This window comes from Homo sapiens, chromosome 8 (genome assembly GCF_000001405.40).
Source record: "Homo sapiens chromosome 8, GRCh38.p14 Primary Assembly".
Lineage (NCBI taxonomy): Eukaryota > Metazoa > Chordata > Mammalia > Primates > Hominidae > Homo > Homo sapiens.
Window position 1 is genome coordinate 998434 of NC_000008.11, and position 17078 is coordinate 1015511.

The following is a 17078-nucleotide window of genomic DNA, read 5'->3' on the forward strand; positions in this document are numbered from 1 at the left end:
GGGACTACAGGTGTGAGCCACTATGCCCAGCTAATTTTTTTTTTTTTTTTCTAGAGATAGGATCTCACTGTGTCACCCAGGTTGATCTTGAATTCCTGCGCTTAAGCAGTCCTCCCACCTCAGCCTCTCAAAGTGCTGGGATTACAGATGCCAGCCACCATGCCTGACCTCATCTTTTTTACTTTGATCTCTTTGCTGGTCAGTTTTATTATTGAGTTGTTCTTTTCTGCATGGGTCATGAGGGTTTGCTTCACGATTTCTTCCTAGGTGAGAATGCCTGCCCTTTGCTCTTATAATCTGAGGAAAACTTGGGTTCTTTTAAATGTTTGGCTCATACCCTTTCTTTCCTTGGAGCTTGAATATACTGTTTCACTGTCCTCATAACAGCAGTCTTTATACTGTGTATATTTTGGGGGAACTGGAATGTGTTGTGGCATCCCTGTCTCCAGTGCAGGGGCCTGGGTTTCTGTTTCCTGCATTGTTCATGTGTGAAGCCACAGCTGCTGTTATCCTGAAGGATACGTGGGCTGGTTGTAGCATGCTTGGGTCATGTTACCTGTAGAATCCTGAGATGAACATTGCTGCCTCCAGATGAACCATACCAGGTTAGCTTCTTCCTCCATGCTGTGCCTATGTGATTGATCATGTTCTTAAAAATATGTATTTAAAGCTTAACCTAGTTAGGACATTTTCTGATATTTGTTATTCTGCACAAAGTTGAGAGTACAGTTAGTGCACCTGTCCAGTCCCCTCCTCACGCCAGAGATACTTTCTCCTCCCGTGTCGGTGGAGCTGTTTTGTCTCCTGCTTGTTTTCATTTGGTGTTGTCCTTTGCTGCTGCTTCTCTGGCTGTGCCTGTGACCCTTCCTGTGTATTCCCCTTTCCATCTCCTGTTACCTCTTCTCTCACTTTTCTCATCTTCTTTCCCTTGTTGAATTTAAGGTGATTATTTTGAATCTTCTATGTCAAGAATTTTCCTGTGCTTTGTATTTTGTTTTGATAGTTGCTGTCCTGATTTACCTCTTGGTCTTGTGGTGGTGGTTTTTCTTTTTTTTTTTTTTTCCCGATGGAGTGTCGGTCTGCCAGTCAGGCTGGAGTGCAGTGGTGCAATCTCGGCTCACTGCAAACTCCACCTTGTAGGCTCAAGTGATTCTCCTGCCTCAGCCTCCTGAGTAGCTGGGATTACAGGCGCCTGCCATCATGCCTGGCTCATTTTTTTGTATTTTTAGTAGAAATGGGGTTTCACCATGTTTGCCAGGATGGTCTCAATCTCTTGACCTCGTGATCCACCTGCCTGGGCCTTCCGAAGTGCTGGGATTATAGGCGTGAGTCACTGCACCCGGCTGGTGGTGTGGTTTTAATACTCAGTTGAGTTCCTTTCCTGTGCAATTTCTTTTTTCATCTCTTTTATTATCTCATTTTCAAGTTCTTGCCCTGTTGAATTAATGTGCTTGCTAAGGATTTTCTCTAGAGCAGACAGATCCGGGTGGAGGTGGTTTTCTTTTGCACTGGATTTTCTCTAGAGCAGACAGATCCGGGTGGAGGTGGTTTTCTTTTGCACTGGATTTTCTCTAGAGCAGACAGATCCGGGTGGAGGTGGTTTTCTTTTGCACTGGATTTTCTCTAGAGCAGAGAGATCCGGGTGGAGGTGGTTTTCTTTTGCACTGGATTTTCTCTAGAGCAGACAGATCCGGGTGGACGTGGTTTTCTTTTGCACTGGATTTTCTCTAGAGCAGACAGATCCGGGTGGAGGTGGTTTTCTTTTGCACTGGATTTTCTCTAGAGCGGACAGATCCAGGTGGGGGTGGTTTTCTTTTGCACTGGATTTTCTCTAGAGCGGACAGATCCGGGTGGGGGTGGTTTTCTTTTGCACTTGATGTTCTCTAGAGCGGACAGATCCGGGTGGAGGTGGTTTTCTTTCGCACTGGATTTTCTCTAGAGCGGAAAGATCTGGGTTGGGGTGGTTTTCTTTTGCACCGGATTTTCTCTAGAGCAGACAGATCCGGGTGGGGTGGTTTTGTTTTGCACTGGATTTTCTCTAGAGCGGACAGATCCGGGTGGGGGTGGTTTTCTTTTGCAATGGATTTTCTATAGAGCGGACAGATCTGGGTGGGGTGGTTTTCTTTTGCACTGGTGTCTAGATTTGGTTTTTGCATGTGGTGTTCCATTTACGGATGCATTTTTGTTATCCTAATTGCTCTGTTATTACTTTTCCTCTTGGTTATGAACTGTCCGGTATTACTGTTTGCTTTGATGTGGATAAATTCTTCTCCAAGGTATTTTTGTAGCCTTGATCTTTACTCAACGTCGACTGCAGGGGCGTTGGGGGTGAGGAGGGTGACGGTGTGGAGGTGGCTCCTCAAGACTCCAAGCAGCCTCTGTGGATGGCCTGCTTCTCTTCTGCGATGTGTGTGGACAGGTGTGGGGGGAGAGGAGAGGGAGACCTTGCTCATCGGGTGCTGATTCTTGGTTCCATGCGGCCTCCGAGAGTGCCTGGGAGCAGGTGAAACTCCCCTCCAGGGATTTCCTCAGTGTAGGCAGGAGTGCCGCTCACCCTGTTCGCTGTGCCATTTAAAATCAGGAGGTGTCGATGACATTTGCAGGCTATTGTTGATAGTTTCCACTCACTTCTCTGAGTGGCAATGACAGAGGGAATCACAATTTCTCCACTCTCTTCTTTTGATATAAAACATTTATTCATGAGTGTGTGCCCCTTTTTCTTGTATGCTTGCTGCTATAGATAATGTTTTTGGAGGAGACTGGAGAGCTTTGACTATTTTTCACATTGTATTGTGATCAGGACAGGGTTGTACTGCACACAGCCTTTCTCCACTGGCTCTGTCAGAAGCCTGAGAACTTGACATCATTTTATCGAGAAGTCTGCCGAGCAGTTTTTGAACAAAAACATAAGTTTGTGTTACGTCCATGTATTCATTTATGTCTAATTTTTATCCTTTTTAGGCCAACATTTTGACAAACTTAAAGTAATATTTATAATCTCTCAAACTTTTCATCTAGAAAATGTTTTTGTGTCCTGATACTATTATTGATGAGAGCAAATGCTTTTGATTATAAAACACTGTAATAATTAAAATATTGAGGAAGGTGTCATGAAACCTCAAACGAAAGTTACGGAGAAATGATTGGAAAAAACCGAATTGCTCTTAAGTGCAAAACAGAGGTAATATTTTAGAACTACATTTATTTTAGCTATAGCATTCAAAGTAATATTGATGTTATAGAAGTTGCCAAGTCCCATGAGTCTGGCAGCAAGCCATTTATCTTTTTCTCTACTATTGCTGTAACGTACACACACATTTGAATGTCCTTCCTCCACTCCCCCAAATTTCCATTACAATTTCAAGAACAAGGAACAAGGAAGAAATCTTGACACTCAGAACAGATCCTGGCCTGAGGGTCTGGGGGATAATGCTGCTGATGCTTTGAGGCTCAAGAAAGGGCTTGGTTTGAAAAGTGATCCCTGTTAAAGCGTGTTTGAGCTTAAAAATGGTCATATGAACCGGGCGAATTGACTCTTTTCTGAAAGGTTTTAATTTTCCTACACAATATACGATACGGGCACTTAGCATATTCTGGGACTGTGCTACCTGTTTACATAGATTTCCTCAATTGTCTTCCACCTGCTTAAATGAACGATGATGCCTATCCCTTTCCGCAGATGAAGACCCCCAGGCCCAGGGAATTCGATCACTGGCTGAGAACTCACAGCTAAGGAGGGGGAGCCTGGGATTCCTTCCTGGTGCTCACACCCGAGACCCTTTTGTCACTGTGTTCAAAGGCACTGCTGCACAGACGTGATTCTTCTTTCAACGAACATCTCCAGGACTTCCTCCGGGGTCTGTGACCTCATCTATAATTAAAGGGAAAGAGATCTTCCTGAGATTAGCCCATTTAACTTGTTTAACTAGATGCATGCTGCAAAAACTGTTTTCAAGAAATGAACAATTGACTATTTAAAAAGAGCCAAGCCTTAAAAGAAGACCAGGTTTTAATAGGGAAAACATTCAGTAAAATATTATTCTGCAGTAACTTGTGGAATGACTGCTGTACACACAGCTCTGGGCTGGGTACCTGGAAGCTCACGAGCTTGTTTGGCCTCCCCTCCTGGACACAGGAGGTGTCAAGGCTGTGGTCAGCAGAATCTACCCAGCTGGACACTGAGTGGACGCCCTGTGGGGTGGCTGTGAAATGGGTCCACTTTGTAGTGGCAGCATCCCTGATAGTACTTCTGAAAGGGACAAGATAGAAAAGCAAACCAAACTGAAACTGAGAAGTCGTGGATGATACCAGGGGCGCACAGTGGCTGACAGGAAGAGACTGCCTGGGGGGTCTCGGAGCCAGTGGCTGGAGTGGAGTTAGTTTGACCGAGTCCTGGACTAGGGAGGGGACCCCCAAAGCATGCCCAGCATGGCGCTAGTGGGGCCCAGGCACCCCATGTCCCAACGACTAGAACCAATAATCAGGTTAACACTCATTAAATAAGAAGTGTCTGTGCCTCCTGGGATAAAAATCCTTTATAACGATCTGGGACGCGAGCTCAAGTCCCTGTTCCCTTGTCCTCCACAGCAGTGTGCAGCGTGGAACTCGGCGGTTCGGGGTCCCTGAGTCCCTGAGCCACTGTCTACCCCCTGCTCCATCCCAAATGCAGAGACCCCTGAGCACTCATGTGGACATGCCCCACCATGCCCTGGCTGCTCCTTCAGGATGGCGCAGGGCCACCGCTATGGGAGGACTCTAAAGGGTGGGTCTCAAGCCCTCCTCTGCTTACCCTAAATCAGGAGAGCAAACCGAATGCACTGCCCTCTTCCTTCACTCCTGCATCCCATCCCCCGCTATGGCCTCACTATCAGGTGGGCATCTGTGCTCCTAGTTTTCATGGGTGGCCCGACGGGGGCTGCAGAAAGTTCATGCATCGCATCACCCATCAGTGTAAGGTGCAGTGATCCTGCCACATGTGTCTTTGTCACAGGTCACTAGATTAAAGGCTAATATATCCATGGGTGGATGGAATATTTATTTGGCCAAATTGTTGTCTAACAATCCATTGGTTTTGGTTATCTATTGCTGAATAATAAGCCATCTCAACATTTAGTAAGCAGTGAGCATTGGTTGAAGCCACTGTTCCTGATGGCCAAGGTTGCCCAGGCTCAGCTGGGCGGCTCTTCTGCTCTGTGATGTGAGCTGGGGCTGAGCATCTGGAGATTTGACTGGGCAGTCAGGCACTCACTCACACAGGGCAGGTGGGGCTGGCTGTCAGCTTGTAGCTCATCTAGGGCTGTTGTCTGAGCGCCTGGATTCTCTCTCATGAGACCTGTCCAGCACCTTGGTCCCCCCATACCCCAGAATGGTGGCTCGGCCCTAAGTGGGAACCATTGAGTTAATGATGACATGACATTCTATCAAGAGATGATACCACAAGCCATACAGACATTTCTTACTTGTGTTTTTGTCATCATGTTTCAGCTTGTTTTAGCTTGGTGTCCCCCTCCCAAAAGATTGTAAATTATTCCAGTGCCAGGAATATATTTATTTCAATTCTTTTTTACCATTTTTTTTATTCTCTTGATGTTGCCTGGCACAAAATAATTGCCCGATACATGTTAGGACAGAAGTGACATTTGGATTGTTTCCGATCTTTTGGCTTTTATAGTATTAAAACAAAAATTTAATTTCCTAAAGCTTTTTCCATACAAATTAAAATTCCCCTAGAATTGTTCCTACAAATGGAAACACTGGCTCTAAGTATATGAATGTTGTAGACTTGCAATACACACTTCCAAGCTGCTTTTTCTCTAGGGACCACACATATTTATGTTGCCATTGGCAAGCGTGACAGAAACCTCCCAAGCAGCTTAACCAGCATTTGGCCACTTTAATTTTGTCTTTTATCTTCATAAATTTGGTAAGCTACAGTGACATTTTATTGCTTTAATTTGCATTTTGAGATTATTACCTGCTGTTTCAAATAGGTGAGCTCTACTTTTTCAAATACACGTCCAGATTTGGCTTGACTTGGAGTATTATATTCAAAATAGAGTCGGCCACAATCAGGGTTGGAAGTACCTAAGTTGTCATCTGGAATCTCCCTTTGGCCTCACGACTCTCTTGAGTTTCAGACCCTCCTGTATAGTGCCTGTGAAGGGATCGGATTGTGTCCACAGCTCGCACACTGAGCCTCTGGCTCAGTCACAGCTTAGAAGTGGTTACCAACTTAATTTCATTTTCTTAGGAAGGTGGGAGTGTCTCCAGTATGTGCGGCATCTTTCTCAGCTGGGAGGTCGGCTTCACACCAGTAGGTCGAGCCCTGTCTTCACTGCGCTCTGCCCTTGGTGGAGAGACCCCCGTGGCCCAGTATTGCAGCTGAAGTGTCCATGTCAAGGCATTATCATATGTTTTGTATCCTCAACTGTAGCAAAATGAAAATGTGATGCAGTGGGCAGAACTCAGGCAGGAGGGGGCTGCTGTCCGGCACCATGCAGGAAGGCTGCGTGGCAGCAGGGATGGTCACAGGCACACACAGGGCCCTGGCTTTTTGGCTGGGTCTTGTGTAGTGGTTGAATGAGATGTGACCATGGAGGGCAATGAGTGAAGAGCACACAGAAACTCTGTCTTCCACTGCCCTTGTGTCTTCCTGTGGATGGATCGTTATTTCCAAAGAAAAGATCGAAAGTAGTGTCACTGGTGCATCTATGTGGAGTTCCTGGCCCACTGATTGAGGCTACTGACCTCACCTACAGTTTGGAGCCCTTTCTGTTTTCCCAAAATACATTTGCTTGGCCTTGAGGGAACAGCTGTGGAGCTTGTGTTCTTGGAGTGAATCAGCCTTCCTGTGACTTCTACTCAGAAAGTCTGCAGAGAATGTCATAGAAAAGGGAGCCGCGTCCTTAGCAAGGCAGCCCGTCAAATAGTTGATGCCCATGTTGTTTCCTGTATTCAAAACAACTCCACTTGTTTTTTTTTTTTTTTTTTTTTGAGATGGGGTCTTGCTCTGTCACCCAGGCTGGAGTGCAGTGGTGCAGTGACAGCTCACTGCAGCCTCAACCTCCTGGCCTCAAGTGATTCTCTTGTCTTGGCCTCCCAGATAGCTGGGACTACAGGTGTGTGCCACCATGCCCAGCTTGCCCAGCTAATTTTTTTTTTTTTTTGGTAGAGATGAAGTTTCAATTTGTTGCCTAGGCTGGTCTCAAATTCCTAGGTTCAAGTGATTCTCCTGCCTTGGACTCCCAAAGTGCTGGTATTACAGGCATGAGCCACCGCTCCTAGCCCTACATCCCCAGTGTTTAAGCCATGCCTTGTGCCCTGGGAACTGCAGACACCAATCTGGATAATCTCTCTTGTACTTGTATTGAGTGTCCCTGTTGAAATTCAATGACCCAAATAATACCTTCAGGGAATGTGCTCCAGATGTCCCATGACTGGCAGAACCAGAACTTACGTAACGGGGAGTGAGGGAGATCAAAGAAATCTCACACCCTGGTCTGGCGCGGTGGCTCACGTCTGCTGAGGCGGGCAAATCACGAGGTCAAGAGATCAAGACCATCCTGGCCAACATGGTGAAACCCTGTCTCTACTAAAAATACAAAAATTAGCTGGGTGTGGTGGCGGGCACCTGTAATCACAGGTACTCGGGAGGCTGAGGCAGGAGAATCACTTGAACCAGGGAGTCTGACGTTGCAGTGAGCCGAGATCGCACCACTGCACTCCAGCCTGGGCAACAGAGCGAGACACCATCTCAAAAAGAAAAGAAGAAATCTCATGCCCCACCATCCCCCAACCCCTGAAAAAGATGGACAACTGTGCTATGCTTCTGGGGAGGATTGTGCCTTTATCACATCGAGGACGCCATGTGTCTGAAGTCTCAGAATACGGTCCTTTATCACGTCAGGGGTGCCCTGCGTCTCAAGTCTCGCGAGGTGGTCCTTTATCACGTCGGGGACACCATGTGTCTGAAGTCTCGGGATGTGGTCCTTTATCACGTCGGGGGCGCCCTGCATCTCAAGTCTTGGTATGTGGTCCTTTATCACATCGGGGACACCGTGTGTCTCAAGTCTCAGGATGTGGTCCTTTATCATGTCAGGGACACCGTGTGTCTCAAGTCTCAGGATGTCCTTTATCACGTCGGGGGCGCCCTGCGTCTCAAGTCTCGGGATGTGGTCCTTTATCACGTCGGGGACACCATGTGTCTGAAGTCTCGGGATGTGGTCCTTTATCACGTCGGGGGCGCCCTGCGTCTCAAGTCTCGGGATGTGGTCCTTTATCACATCAGGGACACCGTGTGTCTCAAGTCTCAGGATGTGGTCCTTTATCATGTCAGGGACACCGTGTGTCTCAAGTCTCAGGATGTCCTTTATCACGTCGGGGGCGCCCTGCGTCTCAAGTCTCGGGATGTGGTCCTTTATCACGTCGGGGACACCATGTGTCTGAAGTCTCGGGATGTGGTCCTTTATCACGTCGGGGGCGCCCTGCGTCTCAAGTCTCGGGATGTGGTCCTTTATCACGTCGGGGACACCGTGTGTCTCAAGTCTCAGGATGTGGTCCTTTATCACGTCAGGGACACCGTGTGTCTGAAGTCTCGGGATGTGGTCCTTTATCACGTTGGGGACACCTTGTGTCTGAAGTCTCAGAATACGGTCCTTTATCATGTCGGGGACGCCGTGTGTCTGAAGTCTCAGGATATGGTCCTTTATCACGTCGGGTATGCCGTGTATATGAAGTCTCGGGATGTGGTCCTTTATCATGTCGGGGACACCGTGCATCTCAAGTCTTAGGATACGGTCAGTCCCACACTCTTCACGTGTCTGCACGGGTTGTCTCTGTGACTGCTGTGATTTCCTGGAGGGGTTTGCTGGAGGACCTGGCCAGCCGCTCTCAGGTGCCCACGTCTCACTCTGGTGACTTCTGTGTGCTGTAACCAAGGGGGAGTGAAGCAGAAGGAAGACCAGCATTTTCCTGCTACCTTTGAATATTGGCCATCATGGCCCATTTTACCAAGCCCTTCAGGCAAGAGCAAGTCAGCTGACTTACATCCCAGGAGGGAAAGATGTGTCTCTAACTAAATCCTAGGGAGGCAAGGCCAGCGGATGTACACGAAGCCATGTGGCCATAGTCTGGCATGCTCCCTTTAAGGCTGAAGGCACCAGTGGTCCAGTGGTGGTCTTCTCTATGGGTAGTTTTTTTTTTTGGGGGGGGGATCTTCTGTGAGTCAACTGGCTCTGTCGTCCATCTCTTTAGGAGTCAGCAGTAGCAATACCTGCCAGCAGTGATGGAAACCTTCATATAAGGAAGCAGCTGATTTGGGTGTATAGTGAACTGTATTTTATGTTGCTGTGAAATTCATTCTGATTTTAAGGACAATGCTTTTGGTTAATTTGTGCCCAGTAACATAAAAATTTATAAACTTCTCAGTTTTTATGGCAAGGTCATTTTAAAAGGGAAAATGTCCCATAGTAGGGGAGGGAATCAACCCACTCCATGGCGCCCGGTCCGTCTCGCTGGTGACAGGACGCCCTCCATAAAGAAGGGGATGTGTTCTTTTCCTGTGATGGATGAGCAGGGCCCTGAATGTGCACCTTCAAGTTATTAGTTGAAAATGACGTGCACTCTCCAGGCTAGAATAAGTTTTAAAGTATTTTCTTTTTCATCCAAATTGATTAGTGAAGAAAGATCCTGATCTACCTTCCCATTTGGACATAATTTTTGTTTGAAATCAGGAACTAGTTGAAACATTCAAGGTCAAGATCTTGATAAAAGATAAATGTCAGTAGTTATTACGTAGAACAAATGCTAAGACAAAAACAGGCCATTTGAAAACTGGCTTGCCATTAGTTTCTATGAAGAAGTTAAAACATTTCAGCTTTGTTTACCTTCCTTTGCACAACGAGTGTCTATAATGTAGCCCAAGCCAGGAAATAGTGAAAACTGGTATTGATTTTGCAGATATGGTTTTAAGATAATTATCATATTCTAGTAATAGGCAACTCAACTTTTAAAAAGAAGTAATTGTGTTCTTGGAAAGGAAACAAAGCTAACATTTGTATATAAAATCATATTTTCTTATTGATGCATTATAATTTCCGATGGCTGTTCCTGAACAAGAAAAAGTTAAGACTTGCATGAAAACTTGATATAAAATCTTAAATGCTTAGAGCTGCCTTTGTCAGTGGAAGCCAATGTCCTTTGCATGGTTCTTACTGTGCCGTAATTAAGCTGGAGAACAGCTGTCCGCCTCTGCAGGAGGACTGGTACTCACTACATCGCCATGCCAGGGCCGGTTCCCCGCTCCCCCACCCCAGCACTGAGGGTCCGTCAGGGAGCAACCTCCACCTGCTGCATGGTGCTGCGCCCCCACTGGTGTGCATGGGAACTGGGAGAGGGGCCCCGGGCCTCCTAGTCCTGATTCCGCCCAGGCAGCTCCGAACATGGGTGAGACCACATGGCCCCTTCTGACACCCAGATGCAACCCTGTGAGGAGCTGGAGTCAGGTCAGCAGCACCCAGAGGCTCCTGGGTATGCAGAATCGCACTGCCATGGCCAGACCCTTCCTCGCAGGCCTCCAGTACCCCTTCCCACCCATGGGATTTCCCTGGCAAAAGCTGGGTGGGGGCCCTGATGGGGGGCAGGCAGGAGTGTAGCTGCACAGCCCAGCCTGGGGACCCTCTTCCATGTGGCCGAGGGTGGTGTTCCTGCAATGCTTGGTCAGCTCTGCCTCCTGCTTTCCAATCTCCTAAGGCCCTGGACACCCACCTCCCAGTTCTGTCCCCCAAAACTCTCCTTCCTCCCCTCCTTCAGTGGAATGCATTTTCTTTTTGTTCGTCAAGTCCCAGCAGAACAGACATTAGAATGTTCCCAGTTTCCATTTTATTAGAACATTTCATAGATGTCATATCGGATAACGGGCTTTTTCTATAATGGTTTATTTGACCTAAGGAACACATAATAGATTTTTGGAAGGAGATTCTAAATATTGAGAATTAGATTGTTATTCAGAGTTAATACCCTAGGACAGACTTTTGGTATTGCTTCTGACATTTTCTTTGACTGAATGATGAAGTGAAATTTCTAAATTCAAATGTGGGAATTAGCTTTACACGTGGGAATTTTTTTGAGCTCACACTGTTCATAGTGGAAGTGGATGGAGTCAGTGATTATGTCTTGTTTCAGTTGGAAGCAGAGTCCATTACCTGGACTGACTTAGCTCAATGTTGGTTTTCATTCTTCGAGGAACTTGCATGATGAAGAACCAGAAATGGAACCTTTTCCTTTCACCTGCTGCGTGTGTAGAGTGGGCCACCTCTCATTTGTCTCCACAGCCTAGACCTTGCTCACATAATCCTGGCGCTTTGCAGAGGAAGGAGGTGGTAATTTTGCAGATTATTATCTAAACCAGATAAAATATCAAATGCCCATTTATCTGTTGGAAATACCTCATAGGAGATTGTGTTTGGAATTGGTTTTTCATTAACAAGCCAGTAAGGTCTTGTGTTTTTGCACAGTTGATTGAAACAATGGAAGCTGCTAGCACAACTTATCTTTCTGAAGAAGTTTCCAGGTACACCTTATGCTAAAAAGAATGTCAGTATTTCACTGTTGTTGCTTTTAATATCGTGGTATCAGTGAGCTAAGGACTTACTCATCTTCAACAAACTAAAGATTTTTAAAATATCTTAATTAATCACAAGCTACTTAACTACATATATGCACACACACCTATGCACACACAGACACATGCACACACATGCATGCACATGTGCACACTCAGATATCAGTTTTATACACACATACACACATGTGCCCACATATGCGCACACATGCACACACACATTCTCACATATGTGTGTACACTCAGATATCAGTTTTATACACACATACACACATGTGCCCACATATGCACACACATGCACACACGCACTCATTCTCACATGTGTGCACAGTCAGATATCACAGTTTTATACACACATACACACATGTGCCCACATATGCACACACATACTCATATTCTCACATATGTGTGCACACATGTGCACTCTAAAATACTACACATTACCCACATATGGGCACACATACGCCCACACACACATACAGAGTTCGGGCAGTGAAGAGTAGAGCCATTTTACTGGTAATCTGCAAGTCCAGTTTCACTTACGACATCAAATGGAGCTTAATGATATAAACAAAACCTGCAAGAATGGGTGAGGCTTTTCCCATAGCTAGCCACCTGAGTGGTGTCATTTCAGGAACCTAAGAATAATTTCCTCTCAATTTCCTGCCGTAATGCTTGATTTTTGCCCTCAGAAATGAATTCCTAAGTGTCTTGAAGACTTTTTGTTTTTAGTTAAACTTTAAAAACACCTCAGAGATCTAAACCCCAGGGAGCATCACGGGGCTCCTCTCCTCTGGGTCCAGCCACAGGCAGGGGCCTGCACAGTGAGCCCCAGGCGAGGGGCCCCTCAGTCTACACAGTGGGCCCCAGGCGAGGGGCCTCAGTCTACACAGTGAACCCCGGGCGAGGGGCCTCAGTCTGCATGGTGAGCCCCGGGCGAGGGGCCTCAGTCTACATAGTGAGCCCTGGAATGTGGGGCCTCAGTCTGCATGGTGATTCTGGGCAAGGGGTCTCAGTCTACACAGTGAGCCCTGGAATGAGGTACCTTAGTCTGCACAGTGAGCCCGGGCGAAGGGCCTCAGTCTACACAGTGAGCTCTGGAATGAGGGGTCTTAGTCTACACAGTGAGCCCTGGAATGAGGGGTCTCAGTCTGCACAGTGAGCCCTGGAATGAGGGGTCTCAGTCTACACAGTGAGCCCTAGAATGAGGAGTCTCAGTCTACACAGTGAGCCCTGGAATGGGGGGTCTCAGTCTGCACAGTGGACCCTGGAATGAGGGGTCTCAGTCTGCACAGTGAGCCCTGGAATGAGGGGTCTCAGTCTACACAGTGAGCCCTAGAATGAGGAGTCTCAGTCTACACAGTGAGCCCTGGAATGAGGGGTCTCAGTCTACACAGTGAGCCCTGGAATGGGGGGTCTCAGTCTGCACAGTGGGCCCTGGAATGAGGGGTCTCAGTCTGCACAGTGAGCCCTGGAATGAGGAGTCTCAGTCTACACAGTGAGCCCTGGAATGAGGAGTCTCAGTCTACACAGTGAGCCCTGGACGAGGTTCCTCAGTCTGCACAGTGGGCCCTGGAATGAGGGGTCTCAGTCTGCACAGTGAGCCCTGGAATGAGGAGTCTCAGTCTATAGAGTGAGCCCTGGAATGAGGAGTCTCAGTCTACACAGTGAGCCCTGGACGAGGGTCCTCAGTCTGCACAGTGGGCCCTGGAATGAGGGGTCTCAGTCTACACAGTGGGCCCTGGAATGAGAGTCCTCAGTCTGCACAGTGGGCCCTGGGCGAGGGTGTCAGTCTGAGGCACAGATGTGGAACCAGGAGTTGTGGATGGACGTTTTCCCAGGGCTTTGTGTTTTACCGAGGATGCTCTCTTGCCCTCTGCTCCACCTGGGCGTGTAGACGGATGTCTCGGCTCACTCTAAATTCAGGCTGGTTGCCTGAGTGGCTCAAGTCCAGGGGCATGGCTTTCACAGAAGATGTTTTATAGGCCCTGCAAACACATGCCAGGTCCTTCACATGCATGGCCCGTGTCGCAGGAAGACCAGACTCTGTTCCCCACTTGCAGACTCAGCCAGGTGCAGCGGTATCCCCTTGCTAGGCTGTGTGATTTTCTCCTTGAAGTTCTGCCTTTTAATTTTCGTCCTCACTCAGGCCTGACATGTCTGACACCCCTGCTGACTTCCATCTTTGACAGGCTTAAATCCCCATCCCTTCGCTCTTCCTGTAGTCCTGTCTGTTGCACGGATTACAGTTAAAATAGAAGACGAAGAACGCACTCTCGGAAGCCCGTCTGCCACACAGATACTGTACTGTGATAGAAAGCGCCCGCGGCAAATGCTTCTTGGACCCACAGGCTGCTGCGCGAGCGAGGATCTCCAGTAGTCTCTGTGTGGCTGCCTCTGCGGGAACTTCCAGCGGCAGTGTGGACACCGTCTGACCAGCCCCCCACTTCAGCGGCAGTGTGGACAACGTCCGACCAGCCCCCCCACTTCAGCGGCAGTGTAGACACCGTCCAACCAGCCCCCCACTTCAGCGGCAGTGTGGACACCGTCTGACCGGCCCCCCCGACTTCAGCGGCAGTGTGGACACCGTCCGACCAGCCCCCCACTTCAGCGGCAGTGTGGACACCGTCCGACCAGTCCCCCCTACTTCAGCGGCAGTGTGGACACCGTCCGACCGGCCCCCCCACTTCAGCGGCAGTGTGGACACCCTCCGACCAGCCCCCCACTTCAGCGGCAGTGTGGACACCCTCTGACCAGCCCCCTACTTTCCAGTGTTCCCCCGCCTCCACCCATCACGATAAGCACGCCAGGTTCTGCTGAGACCACTGTCCCATGAGTATGTGTCGTGTGCCTGGCGATTGCATCTGTGTGTTCCTGTTTAACCTCTCTGCAAACAGAGGGGGTCCCTGCCAGTGTGGCTTCAGTTTTGCAGATGAGGAAGTTGAGACTGTGGACTAGGAAGGTGTTTCCCTTCTTCCTGCAGCTCACAGATGCTGGGGTCTCCATGCTTCCAGCCCTCCGGCCCCTGGGCACCTATGTTCTTTGTGGTCCATTATTATGTCTTTTCCCTGTTCCAGTTTTTGATCTAGTTACTGAAAGGCCTGTGCTGCTAATTCCTTTCATACGTATCAATAGTCAAGGGCTATGTGTATAGACTTTCAGCATTTGAACTACGTTATTGGTGTGAAAAGTTAAGCATTTGTGAACTAAGTGCCCACCATGTACTGCCCTGTGCAGGATACAGTAGAGCTTTGAGCATCTCGTAGGTTGATAAGGAAAAGCCACAGGCACAGATTAAAGGACAAGAGGAGAGGGGAGAGCCTCACGCTTGTTTGTAGAGCCGGTGTCCTGACTCTCTAGGGAGAAAGATGGGAGGTGCTGCTGGACCAGCAGGAATCGGAATAGGAGGCAGATGAGCCAGCCTTTCCCAGGACGGGCAGCATCACAGGGTCTCTGTGGGGGCGTGATGGGGGTGGGTGATGATGTTGCCGCAGAGGTCTCCAGACAGCACTAGTGTGACCTGGCCCAGCAAACGGACAGACGGCGCCTCCACTGTGTGTGTGACCAGGACAGACGGTGCCTCCACTGTGTGTGTGACCAGGACAGACGCCTCCACTGTGTGAGACCAGGACAGACGATGCCTCCATTGTGTGTATGACCAGGACAGACGACGCCTCCACTGTGTGTGTGACCAGGACAGACGGTGCCTCCACTGTGTGTGTGACCAGGACAGACGGCGCCTCCACTGCGTGTGTGACCAGGACAGACGGTGCCTCCACTGTGTGAGACCAGGACAGACGATGCCTCCACTGTGTGTATGACCAGGACAGACGACGCCTCCACTGTGTGTGTGACCAGGACAGACGACGCCTCCACTGTGTGTGTGACCAGGACAGACGCCTCCACTGTGTGAGACCAGGACAGACGATGCCTCCACTGTGTGTATGACCAGGACAGACGGCGCCTCCACTGTGTGTGACCAGGACAGACGGCGCCTCCACTGTGTGTGTGACCAGGACAGACGATGCCTCCACTGCGTGAGACCAGGACAGACGATGCCTCCATTGTGTGTATGACCAGGACAGACGACGCCTCCACTGTGTGTGTGACCAGGACAGACGGTGCCTCCACTGTGTGTGTGACCAGGACAGACGGCGCCTCCACTGCGTGTGTGACCAGGACAGACGGTGCCTCCACTGTGTGAGACCAGGACAGACGATGCCTCCACTGTGTGTATGACCAGGACAGACGACGCCTCCACTGTGTGTGTGACCAGGACAGACGGTGCCTCCACTGTGTGTGTGACCAGGACAGACGCCTCCACTGTGTGAGACCAGGACAGACGATGCCTCCATTGTGTGTATGACCAGGACAGACGACGCCTCCACTGTGTGTGTGACCAGGACAGACGGTGCCTCCACTGTGTGTGTGACCAGGACAGACGCCTCCACTGTGTGAGACCAGGACAGACGATGCCTCCATTGTGTGTATGACCAGGACAGACGACGCCTCCACTGTGTGTGACCAGGACAGACGACGCCTCCACTGTGTGTGACCAGGACAGACGATGCCTCCACTGTGTGTGTGACCAGGACAGACGGTGCCTCCACTGTGTGTGTGACCAGGACAGACGGCGCCTCCACTGCGTGTGTGACCAGGACAGACGGTGCCTCCACTGTGTGAGACCAGGACAGACGATGCCTCCACTGTGTGTATGACCAGGACAGACGACGCCTCCACTGTGTGTGTGACCAGGACAGACGACGCCTCCACTGTGTGTGTGACCAGGACAGACGCCTCCACTGTGTGAGACCAGGACAGACGATGCCTCCACTGTGTGTATGACCAGGACAGACGGCGCCTCCACTGTGTGAGACCAGGACAGACGGCGCCTCCACTGTGTGTGTGACCAGGACAGACGCCTCCACTGTGTGTGACCAGGACAGACGACGCCTCCACTGTGTGTGTGACCAGGACAGACGGCGCCTCCACTGTGTGTGTGACCAGGACAGACGGTGCCTCCACTGTGTGTGTGACCAGGACAGACGCCTCCACTGTGTGAGACCAGGACAGACGATGCCTCCACTGTGTGTGTGACCAGGACAGACGACGCCTCCACTGTGTGTGTGACCAGGACAGACGACGCCTCCACTGTGTGTGTGACCAGGACAGACGGTGCCTCCACTGTGTGTATGACCAGGACAGACGACGCCTCCACTGTGTGTGTGACCAGGACAGACGGCGCCTCCACTGTGTGTATGACCAGGACAGACGACGCCTCCACTGTGTGTGACCAGGACAGACGATGCCTCCACTGTGTGTGTGACCAGGACAGACGACGCCTCCACTGTGTGTGACCAGGACAGACGGCGCCTCCACTGTGTGTGTGACCAGGACAGACGATGCCTCCACTGTGTGTGACCAGGACAGACGACGCCTCCACTGTGTGTGACCAGGA

The 17078-nt window shown here is 49.6% G+C and overlaps 1 protein-coding gene across 2 annotated transcripts in view, besides 2 other annotated features; it reads left to right on the plus strand.

Moving 5' to 3' along the window:
• DLGAP2 (DLG associated protein 2) overlaps positions 1–17078 on the plus strand; it is a 970849-nt gene that overhangs the window by 260806 nt on the left and 692965 nt on the right. The gene's annotated exons all lie outside the window — the stretch shown is intronic.
• Positions 4502–5002: an enhancer, noted in NCBI's record as "H3K4me1 hESC enhancer chr8:952935-953435 (GRCh37/hg19 assembly coordinates)". NCBI's record gives its function as "activates a minimal SCP1, AML or CMV promoter by ChIP-STARR-seq in primed H9 embryonic stem cells {active_cell/tissue: H9 hESC(primed)}" and the evidence as "EXISTENCE:reporter gene assay evidence [ECO:0000049][PMID:30033119]".
• Positions 14783–15982: an enhancer, noted in NCBI's record as "BRD4-independent group 4 enhancer chr8:963216-964415 (GRCh37/hg19 assembly coordinates)". NCBI's record gives its function as "activates an origin of replication core promoter dependent on BRD2, P300/CBP, MED14 and CDK7 cofactors, and independent of BRD4, by STARR-seq in HCT116 cells {active_cell/tissue: HCT116}" and the evidence as "EXISTENCE:reporter gene assay evidence [ECO:0000049][PMID:35650434]".